This window comes from Homo sapiens, chromosome 4 (genome assembly GCF_000001405.40).
Source record: "Homo sapiens chromosome 4, GRCh38.p14 Primary Assembly".
Classification (NCBI taxonomy): domain Eukaryota; kingdom Metazoa; phylum Chordata; class Mammalia; order Primates; family Hominidae; genus Homo; species Homo sapiens.
Window position 1 is genome coordinate 23,769,078 of NC_000004.12, and position 15,651 is coordinate 23,784,728.

General features: G+C 40.6%; 1 long non-coding RNA gene across 1 annotated transcript; it reads left to right on the forward strand.

The window, feature by feature from the left end:
- Positions 1–16: 16 nt before the first annotated feature.
- Positions 17–13,960, forward strand: PPARGC1A-AS1 (PPARGC1A antisense RNA 1). The gene is made up of 3 exons (XR_925475.3): positions 17–59; positions 10,342–10,604; positions 13,026–13,960. It is a non-coding gene; the product is annotated as a PPARGC1A antisense RNA 1 (long non-coding RNA).
- The last annotated feature ends 1,691 nt before the right edge of the window (positions 13,961–15,651 follow it).

Sequence of the window (15,651 nt, forward strand, 5' to 3'; positions counted from 1 at the left end):
CCGCCTCCCCGGTTCAAGTGACTCTCCTGCCTCAGCCTCCCGAGTAGCTGGGATTACAGGTGTGTGCCACCACGCCAGGCTAATTTTGTATTTTTAGTAGAGACAGGGTTTCTCCATGTTGGTTAGGCTAGGCTCAAACTCCTGACCTCAGTTGATCCGCCCGCCTCAGCCTCCCAAAGTGCTGGGATTACAGACGTTAGCCACCGTGCCCAGCTGAGATTACATCTTTTTGAAAGCTAAATATATATATATATAACACTGAGTGAAGGAGTTATGTTTTCAGGTAAGGGCTACTGTTCTTGACAATCCATCATCCATCCATCCATCCATCCATCTGTGTATTCTGGAAGGAGTGAGGAACTCATGCAAAGACATAAACAAGTTTACTCTCCATAGCAAAGAGTTGCCCTGATACATGATTGCTTGCAAACTTATATTCAAGTCCTGTGGTGTTTATTCTGTAGGCTTTGCCAATATAGCTGAATCTTAGGAAAAGACAAACCAAAACAAAATTGTAACATAAGCCATATTTGTCTTCAGTCCAGCCTTTTTTTCTGTTACTGCACATTTCCATACCTTTGCATTTTCTTTGTAACCCATAGGCTTGAGTGTTCAGTTTCTTAAAGTGGCTAGATGTCCCTGTCCACAATAGACAAAGTCACACCAAAATCCTAAAAAGAGAAAATTTGCTTCCCATCAAAGGCCTGACATACTTTTGCCATGAATGATATAGAAAGATTCTATAATAGATTAAAGGAAGCTCTGGGAAATTTGTTTTAAATACAATCAGTCTTACATAGACATATATCTTTAAAGTCGACTGCTTGACATTTTTTCCTTAAGATGAAAATTAAATAATGGCCCCTGTAAAAAATCATCAAAGGTCTCCCTTCACTGAAAAAATAAGCAAAATAATGAGACTGAAGCTCAACTTCTGTTTTGCCCACCTTGAATCCCTTTGACACACTTCCAAGTCTACCTTACAGCAGTAGGAGCGATTCCATAAACTGGAGATTTATAACATGACAAGTCAACCCAGATCCTTATGAAACTAGAAATGAGTCAGCAACATTATAGCTGCTTGAAATTCAGGGCATTTCAGAGTGAGGGGGAGAAATCTTCAAGAATTTCACAGAGGATGTTTTACTTTCTGAAAAATTGCTGAGAATTCTTCAGAGGCAAAGTGGTGCCTGGGTTTTTATTTTCCATGTCTAGGTGGTCAGTGAACCAAGGCTTTATGAGCTGGGATCAGATAGCTGGCAATAAGGGCCACATCATCATCTGGATATCTAATTACTTACACACCCCCCTTCCTAAAAAGTGGTTAACCTTCAATGAATCCCTACTTCTTAATGCAGGAGCCAGTTTATGACAGCCTTGTACTGCATTAAGCCTTGTACTGAAGGCTCTCAATGAACTGGCTCCTGCATAACCATCCACATGTCTCCGCTCCAGATTTCCTACCCTTCCCCTCTACACCCATTGCAAATATCCGTGAAACTGAAAGCTTTTCATTTCTTCAATGGATCGTGCTCAAGTTCTAATTATTATTGAGTTTATACTTGATAAACTCTTAATAAATAAAAATTATTATACATAATAATAACAAAAATAGAATTTCATCTCTTGAGTATCTACTTTGTGTTGGATATAAGGATATAAGTCTAGCACTTACCTATATTTTGTTAACTTTCACAAAAACTCTGCAAGCAAGGCTGACCTATTTTGGGGCTCAGGAACCTGCATTTTAAGAGGATCAGTAATAGGTCCAGGGTAACATGGCTAACACATGGCAGATATGGAATTTTAGCATATGTGCAAGCCCACTACTTCTGCTTCTTCCTTGACATTCAAGATTCAGTTCATGGCAGCTATGCCGAGAAAGATTTTCTCTGATGCTCTCTGCCCCTATGGAGGAAAACGGGGGCTTCTCTTGCCACTTGAAAAGCAGTTAAGGGCTCTGTGATGCTTTTATTCTAATGTCCTCACTGACTTACTTACTGGTCTGTCTCTCCAACTTGGATTGGGAGCAACAATCCGGGACTCTTTCTTCTCCACAGCTTCATTCTCTAGCACATGGTAGGTGCTCATAAAATATTTCTCACACTTGGCCTAGCATAAATGAACGAATGATTTAAAAGATGCTGCATAACTACTCAGGGACCAGGTAAAGCCCAGGGAGTAACCCTGCCAAGCCATCCTCAGTCAGCACCATCTGAAGCTACTTTTATGCTATAATAATTTGCCGCGAAAACTAAATGGAATAACCAGATGCGGCTAAAAGTTTTGTTTTTTCAGCCCTCACCCTCACCCCGGCACCCTGGCCCAATTCACCTCCAAAATGATCCAGAAAAACTAAAAGACAAAATTATTGCCCTACAAGGAGGTTTATAAGGGAGCATGAAAGGCGCTGCTGTGAGCCTGTGTGGAGGGAAATCATGATAAAGGCCATTAGGAGGCTTTATTGAATTGTAACCTGGGAGAAATGTGGCTGGATTCATCAGGCCGTGGTTAGGGGACCTAGGAGCAAATTTTACTGGCTGACCTTAGCTAGAGAATTGATTTTTCTTTTCTCACAGCTCCCATAACAAGAGTGAAACAGAGAAAAGACTGGAGGCCAGCAGGGATGGAGAGAAGAGATAGCAGTTCTGTGACAGCCCAGCTGGAGGGAGTCTTCCTTTCCTCCTTCAAGGAGAATGTACTCTGTGTAGGACTGAGGCCTCGGGTAGAGAGGCCCCGACAGGACCCTGCTGAAGATGAAACACCTGTGTCCCTGGGTTCCACTGGGTTAAGAATTTCCAGACCATATCAGAAAGCAGGTCACAGAATCGGGGTCCCAGGTGGGGACACCATGGTTTCCTGCTTCATTTTCAAGTGCCAAATGAGGCATATGAAATTATTCTCTCTCTCTTTGTTTCTATCTCTGTCTCTTTCTCTTTGTTTCCATCTTTGTCTCTTTCCCTCTGTTCTCTCTTTCTTTCTTTCTCTGTCTCTCTGAGTTTGACAAGGAATCAGTATCACACATAAGTGCTCTACACACTTGTTTACCAGGTAATATATATTTTCAGCCCACTAAATGTCTTATAACCTACTACCATGAGAGGACTCAGTAGGAGTTGAAGGTAGCAATATCTATTTACATGAAGAAGCCCTTCCAAAGCATTCCACTTATTAAATAATGAAAACTCCTCTCTGGCAATGATTATTATCATAGAAGTCACACAGTCATTTGTACTTTAAAAAAGATAACCATGATGTTTTTTAAACGTCACCTCTAGTAATTTCTGAACTGCAACCATGATTCTTGATAAAAATAGCTATTTGTAGGTGTAATCACACTTACCTTGTGGGGACTGTGAGCATCCAATGAGATGAGGTATCTCCAACATAGAGTGCCTCAACAGAGAAATAATCATTTTATCAATGCTTGCTGTTATTGTTAGCCATATTACTATTATCTCCATTTTACAGATGAAGAAACTGAGGCTTAGAGGAGTTACAAATTTGCCCAAAGAAACACAGCTAGTAGATGGAGCTTGGATTTGGTTCCACTTGGGCCATGGAAAGAATATAATGAAGTCTCTTAACAAAATCAAAATGAGCGCAGAATCAGAGGAGCAGAGAGGTTCATGAGGCTACCTCCTCCTCTGCCTTAACTCACAAGAGAATGCCAATGGAAGCTTTCCAATAGGTTAAGTAAGGAAGGTCCAGCAGTATTTTGTGCGGTGAGAAAGCAGCTGTTCTCTGGGTCATTTTCACCAAAGGCCTCCCTAACCATCATCAGGAACAAACTTGCTCAAGCTGTGTTTACTGGGGAACTTGCTGTAACTGCTTAGAACTCAATTGCATTCTGACACTCTATTCATCTTCCAGCTTATTTCCCATCACTGACCCTGATCTTATTAGAAAAACCTTGGAGAATATCAGTAATGGCACCTTTTTATTTTTTGACAAGTTACTCCAGAATGTATTTAATATCTTAAAATTGTCATTGATTGAAACTAGTAATTTTAAATGAGCAGTTTCAAACTAATATTTCTCTTTTTTTTTTCCTTAATATTTTTTTCTCCCTAGTCACATACTTGGTCTTTTCAAGGGTATCTTCCTAAGTGGTCAACAAGCTATAAAATTCTCTAATGACAGAGGACGATAGATAGAGGGAAAATTTTTGGTACAGGTTTAGCATCCCGAATTTGAATATCTGAAATCCCAAATGCTCTAAAATCCAAAACTTTTTGAGGGCTGACATGATGCCCAAAGGAAATGCTCATTGGAGCATTTTGGATTTCAGGTTTTCAGATTAGGGACACTTAAGCAGCAAGTGTAATACAAATATCCTAAAGCCCCCCAAATGGACAATTCAAAGCACTTCTGGTCCCAAGCATTTTGGAGAAGGGATACTCAACCTGTAGCATAGGCCATCTCCAGGTGCTTGAGTTGCTTCCCTCTGAATGTCTTACCTAGAACAGAGCTTAGCACATAGGAGGTGCTCAGGAAATATTTAACAAATTATGGAAAGTCATTTCTAACTGAAACTTATTAAGACAATTAGAGGCTTAGATCTCAATACCCAGTTTTTCTGTGGGGTTTTGTAAGCAAGGAAATGCCAAAAACATGTGGATAGAATAAGTGACTGCTTCTCTGAGGTTTGGGAGGCAATAAAGTTTTGTCTACTTCAAAAATTTATCTTTCTCAGCAACCTTTACCAACTGAAATTTCTCTATTTGACTCTGTATTTAGTACCTAAGGAAAGGCACTGACTTTGGAATTAAGAGCTATTAGGCAAGATAAGTTTATTTAATTAGCTAATTAAGACCCTGGACCCCTAAAGGACAGGGATAGGGCTGGTGAGACACAGTTTCAGGAAAGAATAAAAGGGTGCTTGACTAAAAGGGCAGCATGATTTGTTGCTGTTTGAACAGAGGGAGTGGGAAGGAGAATGCCAAAGGTAAGGGATGGCCACCCCAAGATGTAATTCACCAACTTAAACAGCCCTGGCCCCAGTTCTGAAGGAATGCTATGTATTTGCTCCAAGAAGCTACATTTGCATGATCCATGAGAGAAATGCAGCAGCATTAAAAAAACAAAAACAAAGCAAAACGTGGGTTTAGAGTGCAGAACACCTAAATTTGCATTCCAGCTCTCTCACTTTTTAGCAGCAGTAGCAAGTGACTTACTGTGTGTTAGCTCCATTTCCTCATCTGTAAAGTGGGGACAGTTGCTGCTCCCATTCTGAATTGTGATAAGGCATAACTGATGTCACAAATATTCTAATGTAGAGTCTGCTGCAGAAGAGGCATTCAGTAAATGGTGGCTATCATTGACAATAATTCTTTTCAAAGTAATCTTTATCTTACTAAAGCAGAAATGAAAGAGGGAACTGAAAAGGAGCGGGAGCAGCAGGGATAGGAGTATTTATAAAGCATCTAATATATGCTAAATATCTACTCAATTACTCTTCATATACAAACACTCCATGTGAGACAATACAATTTGTATATATGAATTTTGCCTCCTTAACTTTTCTCTGCTCACTTCACTATATCCCTTAGGTCCAAATTATTCAGGTTTTTCAATATATGGAAATAAATAGCGATGAGAAAAGGAAAAACAAGAGAGGAAGAAAGAGGAAGTTCTATGTAAGCCAAAAACTTACCTGCTTGAATGCCAAACCATGCTCTTTTCTTAAAACTCTGAGCACCCCTTCATGGGGAGAGGGAGAGTCCCACACTGCAAGTAGGAATCAAATCCTAGGAACAGCAGCCCCTATATCAAATGGAAACCCTATGTGCGCTGGACCTAAAACTTTCATTTTAAAACTAAAGAGAAAGCAGCCATAGGGAAGGGTGGATCAAGCAAATCACAGAGTAACATTATGCAACATTCTCTTATCATCTTGGGATATTCCGGAACAGAAGAGGTTCCATCCCTCCTGCTATTTTTTCATCACCTCTTCAGAAGTATTCAAATGAGTTAAGACAACTGCTTCACTTGGCATTTGGATCCATCTATTACTACTCCAGGGCTCGGGTGCTTAGTCATTTCTTAGCTCATGTCACTGCCACTTTGTTCTCGCATTTGACACTGACTCCAATAACCTTGTAGCATCTGCCCTCCCAATTCCCTTGAAAACCCTGAGCAGCCTGCTTCGATGAATGCTCGTTTGAATGTCCTTTTTTTTTTTTTTTTCCTGTCTCTCTCTCTCTCTTTTTGACAGGGAAAACAGCTATCAGGTTTCTGGAACATTCTTGAATAGCTAATTCCTGGAGTCCTTGTCCTCACTTCTTCTCCTCTGTACCTCACTGGCATTTGCTCCAAGATCTCCTTTTCAAACAACGTCCTGGCACTGAGCTGAGATTTCCAAATGTTAACTCCCTGGCATCCATCCTGTAGGTGCAGAAAGGATTCTTCCCTGATTTGCACACAAACCTTTTCATTTCGATGCATATCAGGGTCATCTCGGCTTTGTGCCTTGCCTACAAGGTGGTTTGGAGGCCATGTCCCAGAGAACAAATTAAAGAGATTTTCCTCCTCCTTTTCAGAACATCTCCCCCCAGCCACTCTCACCTGGGCATCTGGAAACTCAGTCCTTCCAGGCTCTTATTTTTACCTCCGTGGGCTGAGTCCCAGGGTGGACACTGACCTACATACCAGCTTTTCAGACTCCTTTCAGGAAGGCCTGCAAAATTCTCCAGCAGCTTGTCTGTGCTGTTCTCATGCCCTTGCTCAGGGGAAAGCTTGTCTAAAGCTCCTGTGATCAAAGGACCTTTCCTTCCCAGGTGCCACTATCAATACAATTTCAGCAGAGCACCAGGGGGCAGTCTACATGTCTCCTCTGGGTGAAGGTGTGTCCTCACCTGCCTGATATCCATTAGTTTCCACATTCTCTACCTGATTCTTAGAAACAGAATTTAAATGGAGCATAGTAAGAGGGGGAAAAGAGGAAAAGAAAGAAACAGAGGTAAAGAGAGAATCCACTCATTCATCACTCATCCAGCCATTCCTTCCTTCACTCATGCATTCATACAGGCTTTTTTTAGTGTTACTCTATGGAGCTGAGAAAAGTGTTGGGGATTCAAAGGTGTAAATGGTGCGGTCTTTGCCCTCCAGAAACTCAAGACTCTACTGAAGAAAGAGAAAGAATTCCAACTGTGTATAAACAGAGCCTATTACTTAAGTAATTAACCAATGCTGAAGCAAGATTAGGGGTTCAATAAAAACTTCCTAGAAGAAATAGTGACTTAGTTGAATCTTGATGGAAACAGAAATTCTATGGTAGGCCTGCTTGGGTCAGACAATGACAAGTGCTAAATAAATGTGAACAAAATAGACTCTGTCTCTGGCATCCTGTAATGTAAATTCCAGAGCAGAACATGAGAGGTGTGGTTAGGAGAAGAGAGGAGGATCATAGAGTCTAGCTGTAGAGGACAAACATGAGTTGCCAATTATTGATGTTCCTATGTCCCTGGCATCACATTAAACACCTCATATTTAATCTTTACAATGACATTATGTAGCAGGTATTGTTATTTGCATTTTAAAAGTAATACTACTAAAATTTAGATGATAAACAACCTGCCTACTATCACATAGCTTATAAATACTAGATCTGGACTTTGATCACGGGTATGTCTTACCCCAAAGCATAGGCTCTTAGCCACCCTGGAAAAAACTCCCATAGCCTCTCAGATAGAGAAAGAAAGGTAGGGCATTCCAAGCAGAGAGAACAGCTTTTACAAAATTTTAGAAATATAATAGAGTCTATTCCACAAAACGCAAAAATTGCAGTAGGAGTGGAGCTGTGGGGCTGAGAGCGTGGTGAAAATAACTTTTGAATGAGAGGGTGGGGATCATTCAGGGATAAACTTATACTTGATGCTAGAGACTTTATGTTTGATTCCAGGAAACCAGGTGAAACTGTTGGTAGGCTCTAGATAAGATAGATAGGATAGAATGTTAGCATTTTAGAAGCAATGTTTTGACTGCAAAGTGGAAGATATAGTGAAATTGGTTGTAAATGGAAAAATGCAGATGAAAGATGATTGATTTGAGGGCTTTGAAAGAAGTAAAATAAACAAGACTTGGTAATCAATTAGATGTGATTGTGAATGGCAGGGAGGGCTTGTGTGACTCCTAAGCTTTGGGCCAGGGAAATTTGAGTTGATGACAATCTCTGAAAATGGAAGAATATAAGTAGATTTTGGTTGTGAATAAGATAATGGGTTCAGTTTGAGACATACTATGTTTAAACTTTGGGAGAAAACTCAAAAGGAGGTGTCCAGTAGTTAGTGAGTCAAAAGCTTGGGAGAGTGATTTCAGTTGGGGAAATAGATTTAGAGTCATTTCCCATGGTCTTAGGGAAGTCAATGTTACTGCAGTCAATGATACATCTCAAGGAAAACATGGACAAAGAAAAGAAATATGATTAAAGAAAACAACTAAGGGAATATTTGCATGAAAGATTCAAGTAGAAGAATAGTAGTTAATGAAGGAGAACATAAAGGAGTGGCTAGAGTGGCCAGGAAAAGACGAGAGGTTGATGCACAAAGTACATTTTTTCATTTGCATAGAATGTCAGAATTGGAAATTGTCTGGCTCTTTACTTTACAGATGTAGCCGATGGATCCTGGAGAGATAAAGCACATTGGCAAAGTAATTGCAGCTGGTTAACATTAAAGCCAGAACTAGAACCCAGAGCTTCTGGTTCCAACCTTGGCCAGAGTCTTTGTGTTGTTTTTATTTCCCTTAGCCTCACTGTCTAGAACAGTGTATGGGAAGTAAAATAAAATTGATTTTTTAAAAATGCATTATTTTTAATTGTTTTATTATTTTAGAGACAGAGTCTTGCTATGTTGCCAAGGCTGGAGTGAAGTCTCATAATCATGGTTCACTGTGAACTCGATCTCCACAGCTCAAGGGATCCTCCTGCTTCAGCATCCCAACTAGCCAGGAATGCAGGCATGTACCATCATACTCAGCAAATGTTTGTATTTTTTGTAGGGTTAGAGTCTTGCTATGTTGCCCAGGCTAGTCTTAAACTCCTGGCTTCAAGTCATCATTCCCACCTCAGCCTCCCACAGTGCTGGTATTACAGGCATGAGCCCCACACCCAACCAAATGTATCCTTTGACCCCAAATTTTATCACTAGTTTCCATTTTTTCAAAGACATTTATCTTCTTGGCCACTAATTATGAAAACGGAGCATGACCATTGTTTGCCAGGTCCTTTTAGATAGATTAACCTAAAAAAATGGGTCAGATGAACCCCACCAAGTTGGCTTTCTTTTCCTATTTTCTATTGAGGAAACCGAGGCTAAGACATGTAAAGAAATAAATGCCCTAGAGTCCCATAACTAGGGTAGACCATTATTTCATTGTCAGGTTGTCCTAATTATTTCTCAGTCAACCTCTTGGGGATTCAGTGCTGAATCTACATGCAAACTACCCAGAAGAAATCATTTGGGGGTAGAATCTTAATAATTTGAAGGGGGATAGGTTGATTTTAAAACTTTGTTCTCTGTACTAGGGTACTTAGATTAGGTCTAAAGCAGGGCCATAGCTTTGGGGCAATTAGCAATATCTTTTTGTTTGTTTGTTTGTTTTGAGACGGAGTCTTGCTCTGTCACCCAGGCTGGAGTGCAGAGGCCTGATCTCAGCTCACTGCAACTTCCGCCTCCCAGGTTCAAGAGATTCTCCTTTGGGAGGCCGAGGCGGGTGGATCACGAAGTCAGGAGATCGAGACCATCCTGGCTAACACAGTGAAACCCCGTCTCTACTAAAAAAAAAAAAAACAAAAATACAAAAAAATTAGCCAGGCTTGGTGGTGGGTGCCTGTAGTCCCAGCTACTCGGGAGGCTGAGGCAGGAGAATGGCGTGAACCTGGGAGGCAGAGCTTGCAGTGAGCCGAGATTGTGCCACTACTTTCCAGCCTGGGCAACAGAGCGAGACTCCATCTCAAAAAAAAAAAAAAAAAAAAAAAAAAAAAAAAAAAAAAAAGATTCTCCTGCCTCAGCCTCCCGAGTAGCTGGGACTACAGGCGCAAGTCACCACACCTGGCTAATTTTTGTATTTTTAGTAGAAATGGGGTTTCACTATAGTGGCCAGGCTGGTCTCGAACTCCTGACCTCAGGTGATCCACCCACCTCAGCCTCCCAAAATGCTGAGATTAGCGGTATCTTTTAAGTAATGCCAGTAATTGAGAACTAGGTCCATCGTCATTAATGGGGGTCGTGCTTTCTACTTTCAGGACAAGTCTATCATTGTGCAGGGGCCTCAGCTTCCTGTGTTGGAAATGAGTTAATGTAGTCACACTATGACACGCTATTTTTATTCCTTACCCAGATCAGCCATATTCTAACAATACATTTCAAAGTACTGCTGACGGAGGCTCCACCTGAAACCTGTTCTCTCAGATAAGTATCTTCATCCCATTCATCGTTTCAAGAAAAATAAATAAATAAATCTTACAGCACGGCAGCATTTTCATCTGCTTTGGTTTCAGCCAGAGATAAACTGTTCCTGCTGCAAAGTAATTAATATCAGTCGCCTGGAAAGCAGAAATTGGGAGACAACAGGCTCCTCTTTCTTGATAAACAGATTGTTGGGTAAGGTATGCACATGGATGTGACAATTCATTTGGCCATAGAAATAGCAGAAATGAGACGTTTTTAGACAGATATTTGGAAGGCATGAGCAAATATCCCCAGGCTTCATCCATTTGAGCTCAGATGAGTCTTTTGCGCTAGGTTTTGAGCTTCTCTAAGTCCCTAGGATCAGCAGAAATCTCTAGACCCCCCAGGGGTGTACCCTTAAAACAATACGCAGAATCAGTACGATCATGGCCAACTCCTGGGAAAGCTGGCTCTATGCCCGAGTCCTTTGCAGCCCCCGCCTTCCTGACCCAACTTCCCATGTGACTAAGGAATCAAAAACTTGGCCTAGTTGATATATAATCCAGGCAATCAGAAATTAGAACCGTGCGGCTAGGAAAGATGAGCAAAAGATGCTTAGAAACAAGACAAGCAGAAAACAACCTCCCCAGAGCTATCCTGTGTGGGGAAACCTCCAAAAGCTAGGGAAAGACAGCGTATGTTTTGTATGGTCCAGGAGGAGCAAGCTCATCATGGCTGCCTGCAAATGAAGAAATCATGTTTCTGTCATAGCAAAATGGTTATGTTTTGGAGTGTTCTGTGAATGAGACATGAGAGGGGAAACGCCACCACACAAGTATTCCTTACATTCAGTTCTTCAGAGAAGGCTTCAGGGATCATTTTCCCATCTCAAAAAGCATAAATTGCCATTTTATAGGAGCTTGAGAAGAATATTCTAGAAGTGATTCAGAGCCAGGACATTTGGGGATTTGTTTAGGTAAACATGAAAATTCTATCCATCTTTATTCATCCATCCCAGCAGTCAGCCAGCATCCTTACAAACTCAAAGGGCAAAGTAAAGGTAAAGAAATAATTTAGAATATACTATTATCAGTGCTGTGATAGGTTAATGTGCAGGAGAGACAATAAAGGAGTGAGTTCTACAAGTCTGGGGACAGGGAGTGAGGAGAGATGGGTCAGGAAAGTTTTTATTGAGCAAACACTTGGACTAAGTAATTGAACAATGTAAGTGTTTATAAGCGGGTAGATTAGCAAAAACTTGGATACTCTCAACTCCAGGAGAGATCCAGGAAAAGAGAGAGTTGTACTATTTCTGCTCGTCCCATTGCCTAATTCTACATGTCAGGGGCCAGCTCAGGCCATATAGATCCCTTAGAGCCTTCACTGAACTTCCTCCCTCCTTAGTAAATTTTTTTTTCCCACAGATCTTGAGACATTTATTAGTTATACACTAATTACCTTATGTACATCCACCAGACTGCAAATTGCTTGAGGACAGGGTCTCTTATTAATTCATTTCTACCACATTGGTGACTAAAACAATGTCTGGGATACAGTAGGTGAGCTTTTTAAAGTTTGTTGAATACTATCTATGTCTCCACAATTGATTAGAAGTTTCTTGAAGGCAGGAAGAACATTATTTATCCTTTCTATGCCTGGCACAGGGCTCAAAGTGAATGTTCAATAAACGTTTAATGAACAAGGAGCCCACTGAAATTTCCACATGATAGTGAAATTGATGGCACACTCACTATTTGTCCTTTCTCTGAGCACCTAGTGTCACTTCTTCCTGCCTTTCTCCAGGCAGTGAGGTCTTGGATAACCTTATTTCTCTCACTTCTGTCCTAATGCAACTAGCTTTTTTTTTTTTTTTTTTTTTTTTTTTTGAGACGGAGTCTGTCTCTGTCCAGGCAGGAGTGCAGTGGTGCGATCTCAGCTCACTGCAACCTCCGCCTCCCTAGGAGGTTCAAGCGATTCTCCTGCCTCAGCCTCCCGAGTAGCTGGGACTACAGGCACGTGTCACCACGCTCGGCTAATTTTTTATTTATTTTTTGTACTTTTAGTAAAGACAGGGTTTCACCATGTTAGCCAGGGTGGTCTCGATCTCCTGACCTCGTGATCCATCCGCCTCAGCCTCCCAAAGTGTTGGGATTACAGGCGTGGGCCACCAAGCCCAGCCTTAGCTCTCCTCTTAAAATGATCTAGGTGAGGATTTGCTAGAACTGATGATGGCTACAGTTTATTGTCTTTCTTAATTTAAAAATACATGAATTAAAAAATGTTGGGTTTCCGGTATTATTTGTAAGCCATGGAGAATATATTTTGGAGAAAAATATCAACTCTGAATCTTTCAACTCATACTATGGATACAGCTGCCTAAACTGTAATAGGACCAAGCCTTCCTTTTGGTCACGCACCTGACTGGTCCATTAATATCTCTGCTCTTTGTGTCGAGTCGGTTTATTCTGCATGAGTTTGTTTTTGTCAGTGGTTTATGTTCCAATGTTGTATGGTGCCAGGCAACTTGAACTGTAACTGCAACAACAATGGCAGCCTGTATTCTAACTCAAATTATTTTATCCGCTCAAAAAGAGCTCATGAAATCAACTGATGTATTTCACTGCTTTTTCTTAGGTTTCCTTTGGGAGGGGAAGGAATAACCTTGAAGAGAGGTGAGAATTGTCATGGATTTTGTGTGACTTGTTACTCAAGATGACTCATTAAGCTGCCAAGAGCCTCACAGCCCATCCAAACTTCTCAAACAACCCCTTCAATTCCAGCCCTTGACCTGATCTATGTAGAGGGTTGGAAAATTCACAGCAATACAAAGCTATGGAAACAGACTGTCATCCACATATATGTTGGGTGATGGGGGAGACATGAAGAGTGAGAGACTGTGGAGACAGGAAAGTAGCAACATTTGCCATGAGATTTTCCTCGAAACCATCTCCTTCTTGAATTTAGACACTCATTGTTTATGTGCAGTGGCCCTAGGTACAGAAGGGTCACCACCCCAAGGAGAACTATACCCTCCGGACTCATAAACCAAATTCTAGCCAGATTCTCCCGGAATAAAATACTACAGTTCATCCATTAAGCTAAATCTCCTTTCAACAATTCCCTTCTTACCTGGCCCATGAAATGAATAATGAAGAGATTATTTTCTGGGCAAATTGGTAGAAAAATCCTGATGCAGACAGTTCCCCTTCTGATTGCACCTGACTTCCATTCATTGACTATCACATCAAGTAGTGGTTCTGGGAATTCAAAGGAGAGCTCAGCAAAAGAAGAAGAAAAAAAAGCCCACAAAGTTTTTCAAGGTACCTACTGCAGTTATCAGTTCATAGATCTAAATGTTCGCACTGTATGCTTGATTTGCACATTCCAAACCAATTTGGTAATTTTTTTCATTTTTATCTACACGCATGAAGTGATTTGGAATACTGAAACAATTTAGAATCATATTTCGTTTGCAACAGTTCAATTAACTTAAGTGCTGGAACATGCTCTCCAACTGGTAACTAGTTTAATTGGTTACTATTACAAGAAATAAATTCTATAGTCCTGGGGCCTCCCAGTGTCCTTTCTAGACAGGGCCCGGCCATGCAGAGGTATGTGGGAGTGGGAAGGTGAGGAGTGTAGCAAAATTTCTTACTTAAAAAAGAAAAATCCAAGAACCCATTCTCTTAATAACTAGGTATGAGTTTCCATTTTCTGCTGTGATTTTATGACCTCCAGTTCCCTTGGATCAACTTTACAACCACTCAATAAGCAAGAGAAGGGTGTGGATCAAGGGTCGAAGACTTTTAAAGCTATTGCATAAATGCACTTAAGCATGAGCCAAAGTGATAAATAGGAAACCAAGACGCATGTCAGGAATGCAGCAAAGAATGAGTAGCTGGGACACTTTGAGCAGCTGTTAAGGCAACTCCAAACCCCTGGAAAGAAGGATTTCCTTCTGGCTTACACCAAGGCTCAATTGCTCTAGTTGCATTTGCATTGAAAGGCACTACTGCCAAATTGTACAAGAACACTTATAGTAGAAAAACATGTAAATTGTCAAAAGATACAAAATAATACTGCATCTCATTTGTGGATATACGGAAATGTAGTTAAAGAGAAAAAGTGAGTAGGCATAACACATACTAACTATTGGGGAGAGAATGCTACTGAGGAAGAAAGGAGAATAAAGGGATAGGTATGTGATTTAAGTGCAATCTTAAGCATATTGAATAAAATATTAACATCTCATAAAGCTGGGTATGAGATACATGGGGCTCAATTCTATTATTTTATGCACTTTCATGTTTATTTGAAATGATTTCTAATTAAAAGTTAGAAACACTTAAAAAAAGAATCAGTCCCTGTTTCGCAGCCATTGGCAAACCAGTCATTTCTCAAAAAATTCTTCTGTCTTAAGATCACAAACTCTGGAGGCATCACGCTACCTGACTTCAAACTATACTACAAGGCTACAGTAACCAAAACAGCATGGTACTGGTACCAAAACAGAGATATAGATCAATGGAACAGAACAGAGCCCTCAGAAATAATGCTGCATATGCATATCTACAACTATCATCTGATCTTTGACAAACCTGAGAAAAACAAGCAATGGGGAAAGGATTCCCTATTTAATAAATGGTGCTGGGAAAACTGGCTAGCCATATGTAGAAAGCTGAAACTGGATCCCTTCCTTACACCTTATACAAAAATCAATTCAAGATGGATTAAAGACTTAAACATTAGACCTAAAACCATAAAAACCCTAGAAGAAAACCTAGGCATTACCATTCAGGACATAGGCATGGGCAAGGACTTCATGTCTAAAACACCAAAAGCAATGGCAACAAAAGACAAAATTGACAAATGGGATCTAAGTAAACTAAAGAGCTTCTGCACAGCAAAAGAAACTACCATCAGAGTGAACAGGCAACCCACAAAATTGGAGAAAATTTTCGCAACCTACTCATCTGACAAAGGGCTAATATCCAGAATCTACAATGAACTCAAACAAATTTACAAGAAAAAAACAAACAACCCCATCAAAAAGTGGGCGAAGGACATGAACAGACATTTCTCAAAAGAAGACATTTATGCAGCCAAAAAACACATGAAAAAATGCTCACCATCACTGGCCATCAGAGAAATGCAAATCAAAACCACAATGAGATATCATCTCACACCAGTTAGAATGGAGATCATTAAAAAGTCAGGAAACAACAGGTGCTGGAGGGGATGTGGAGAAATAGGAACACTT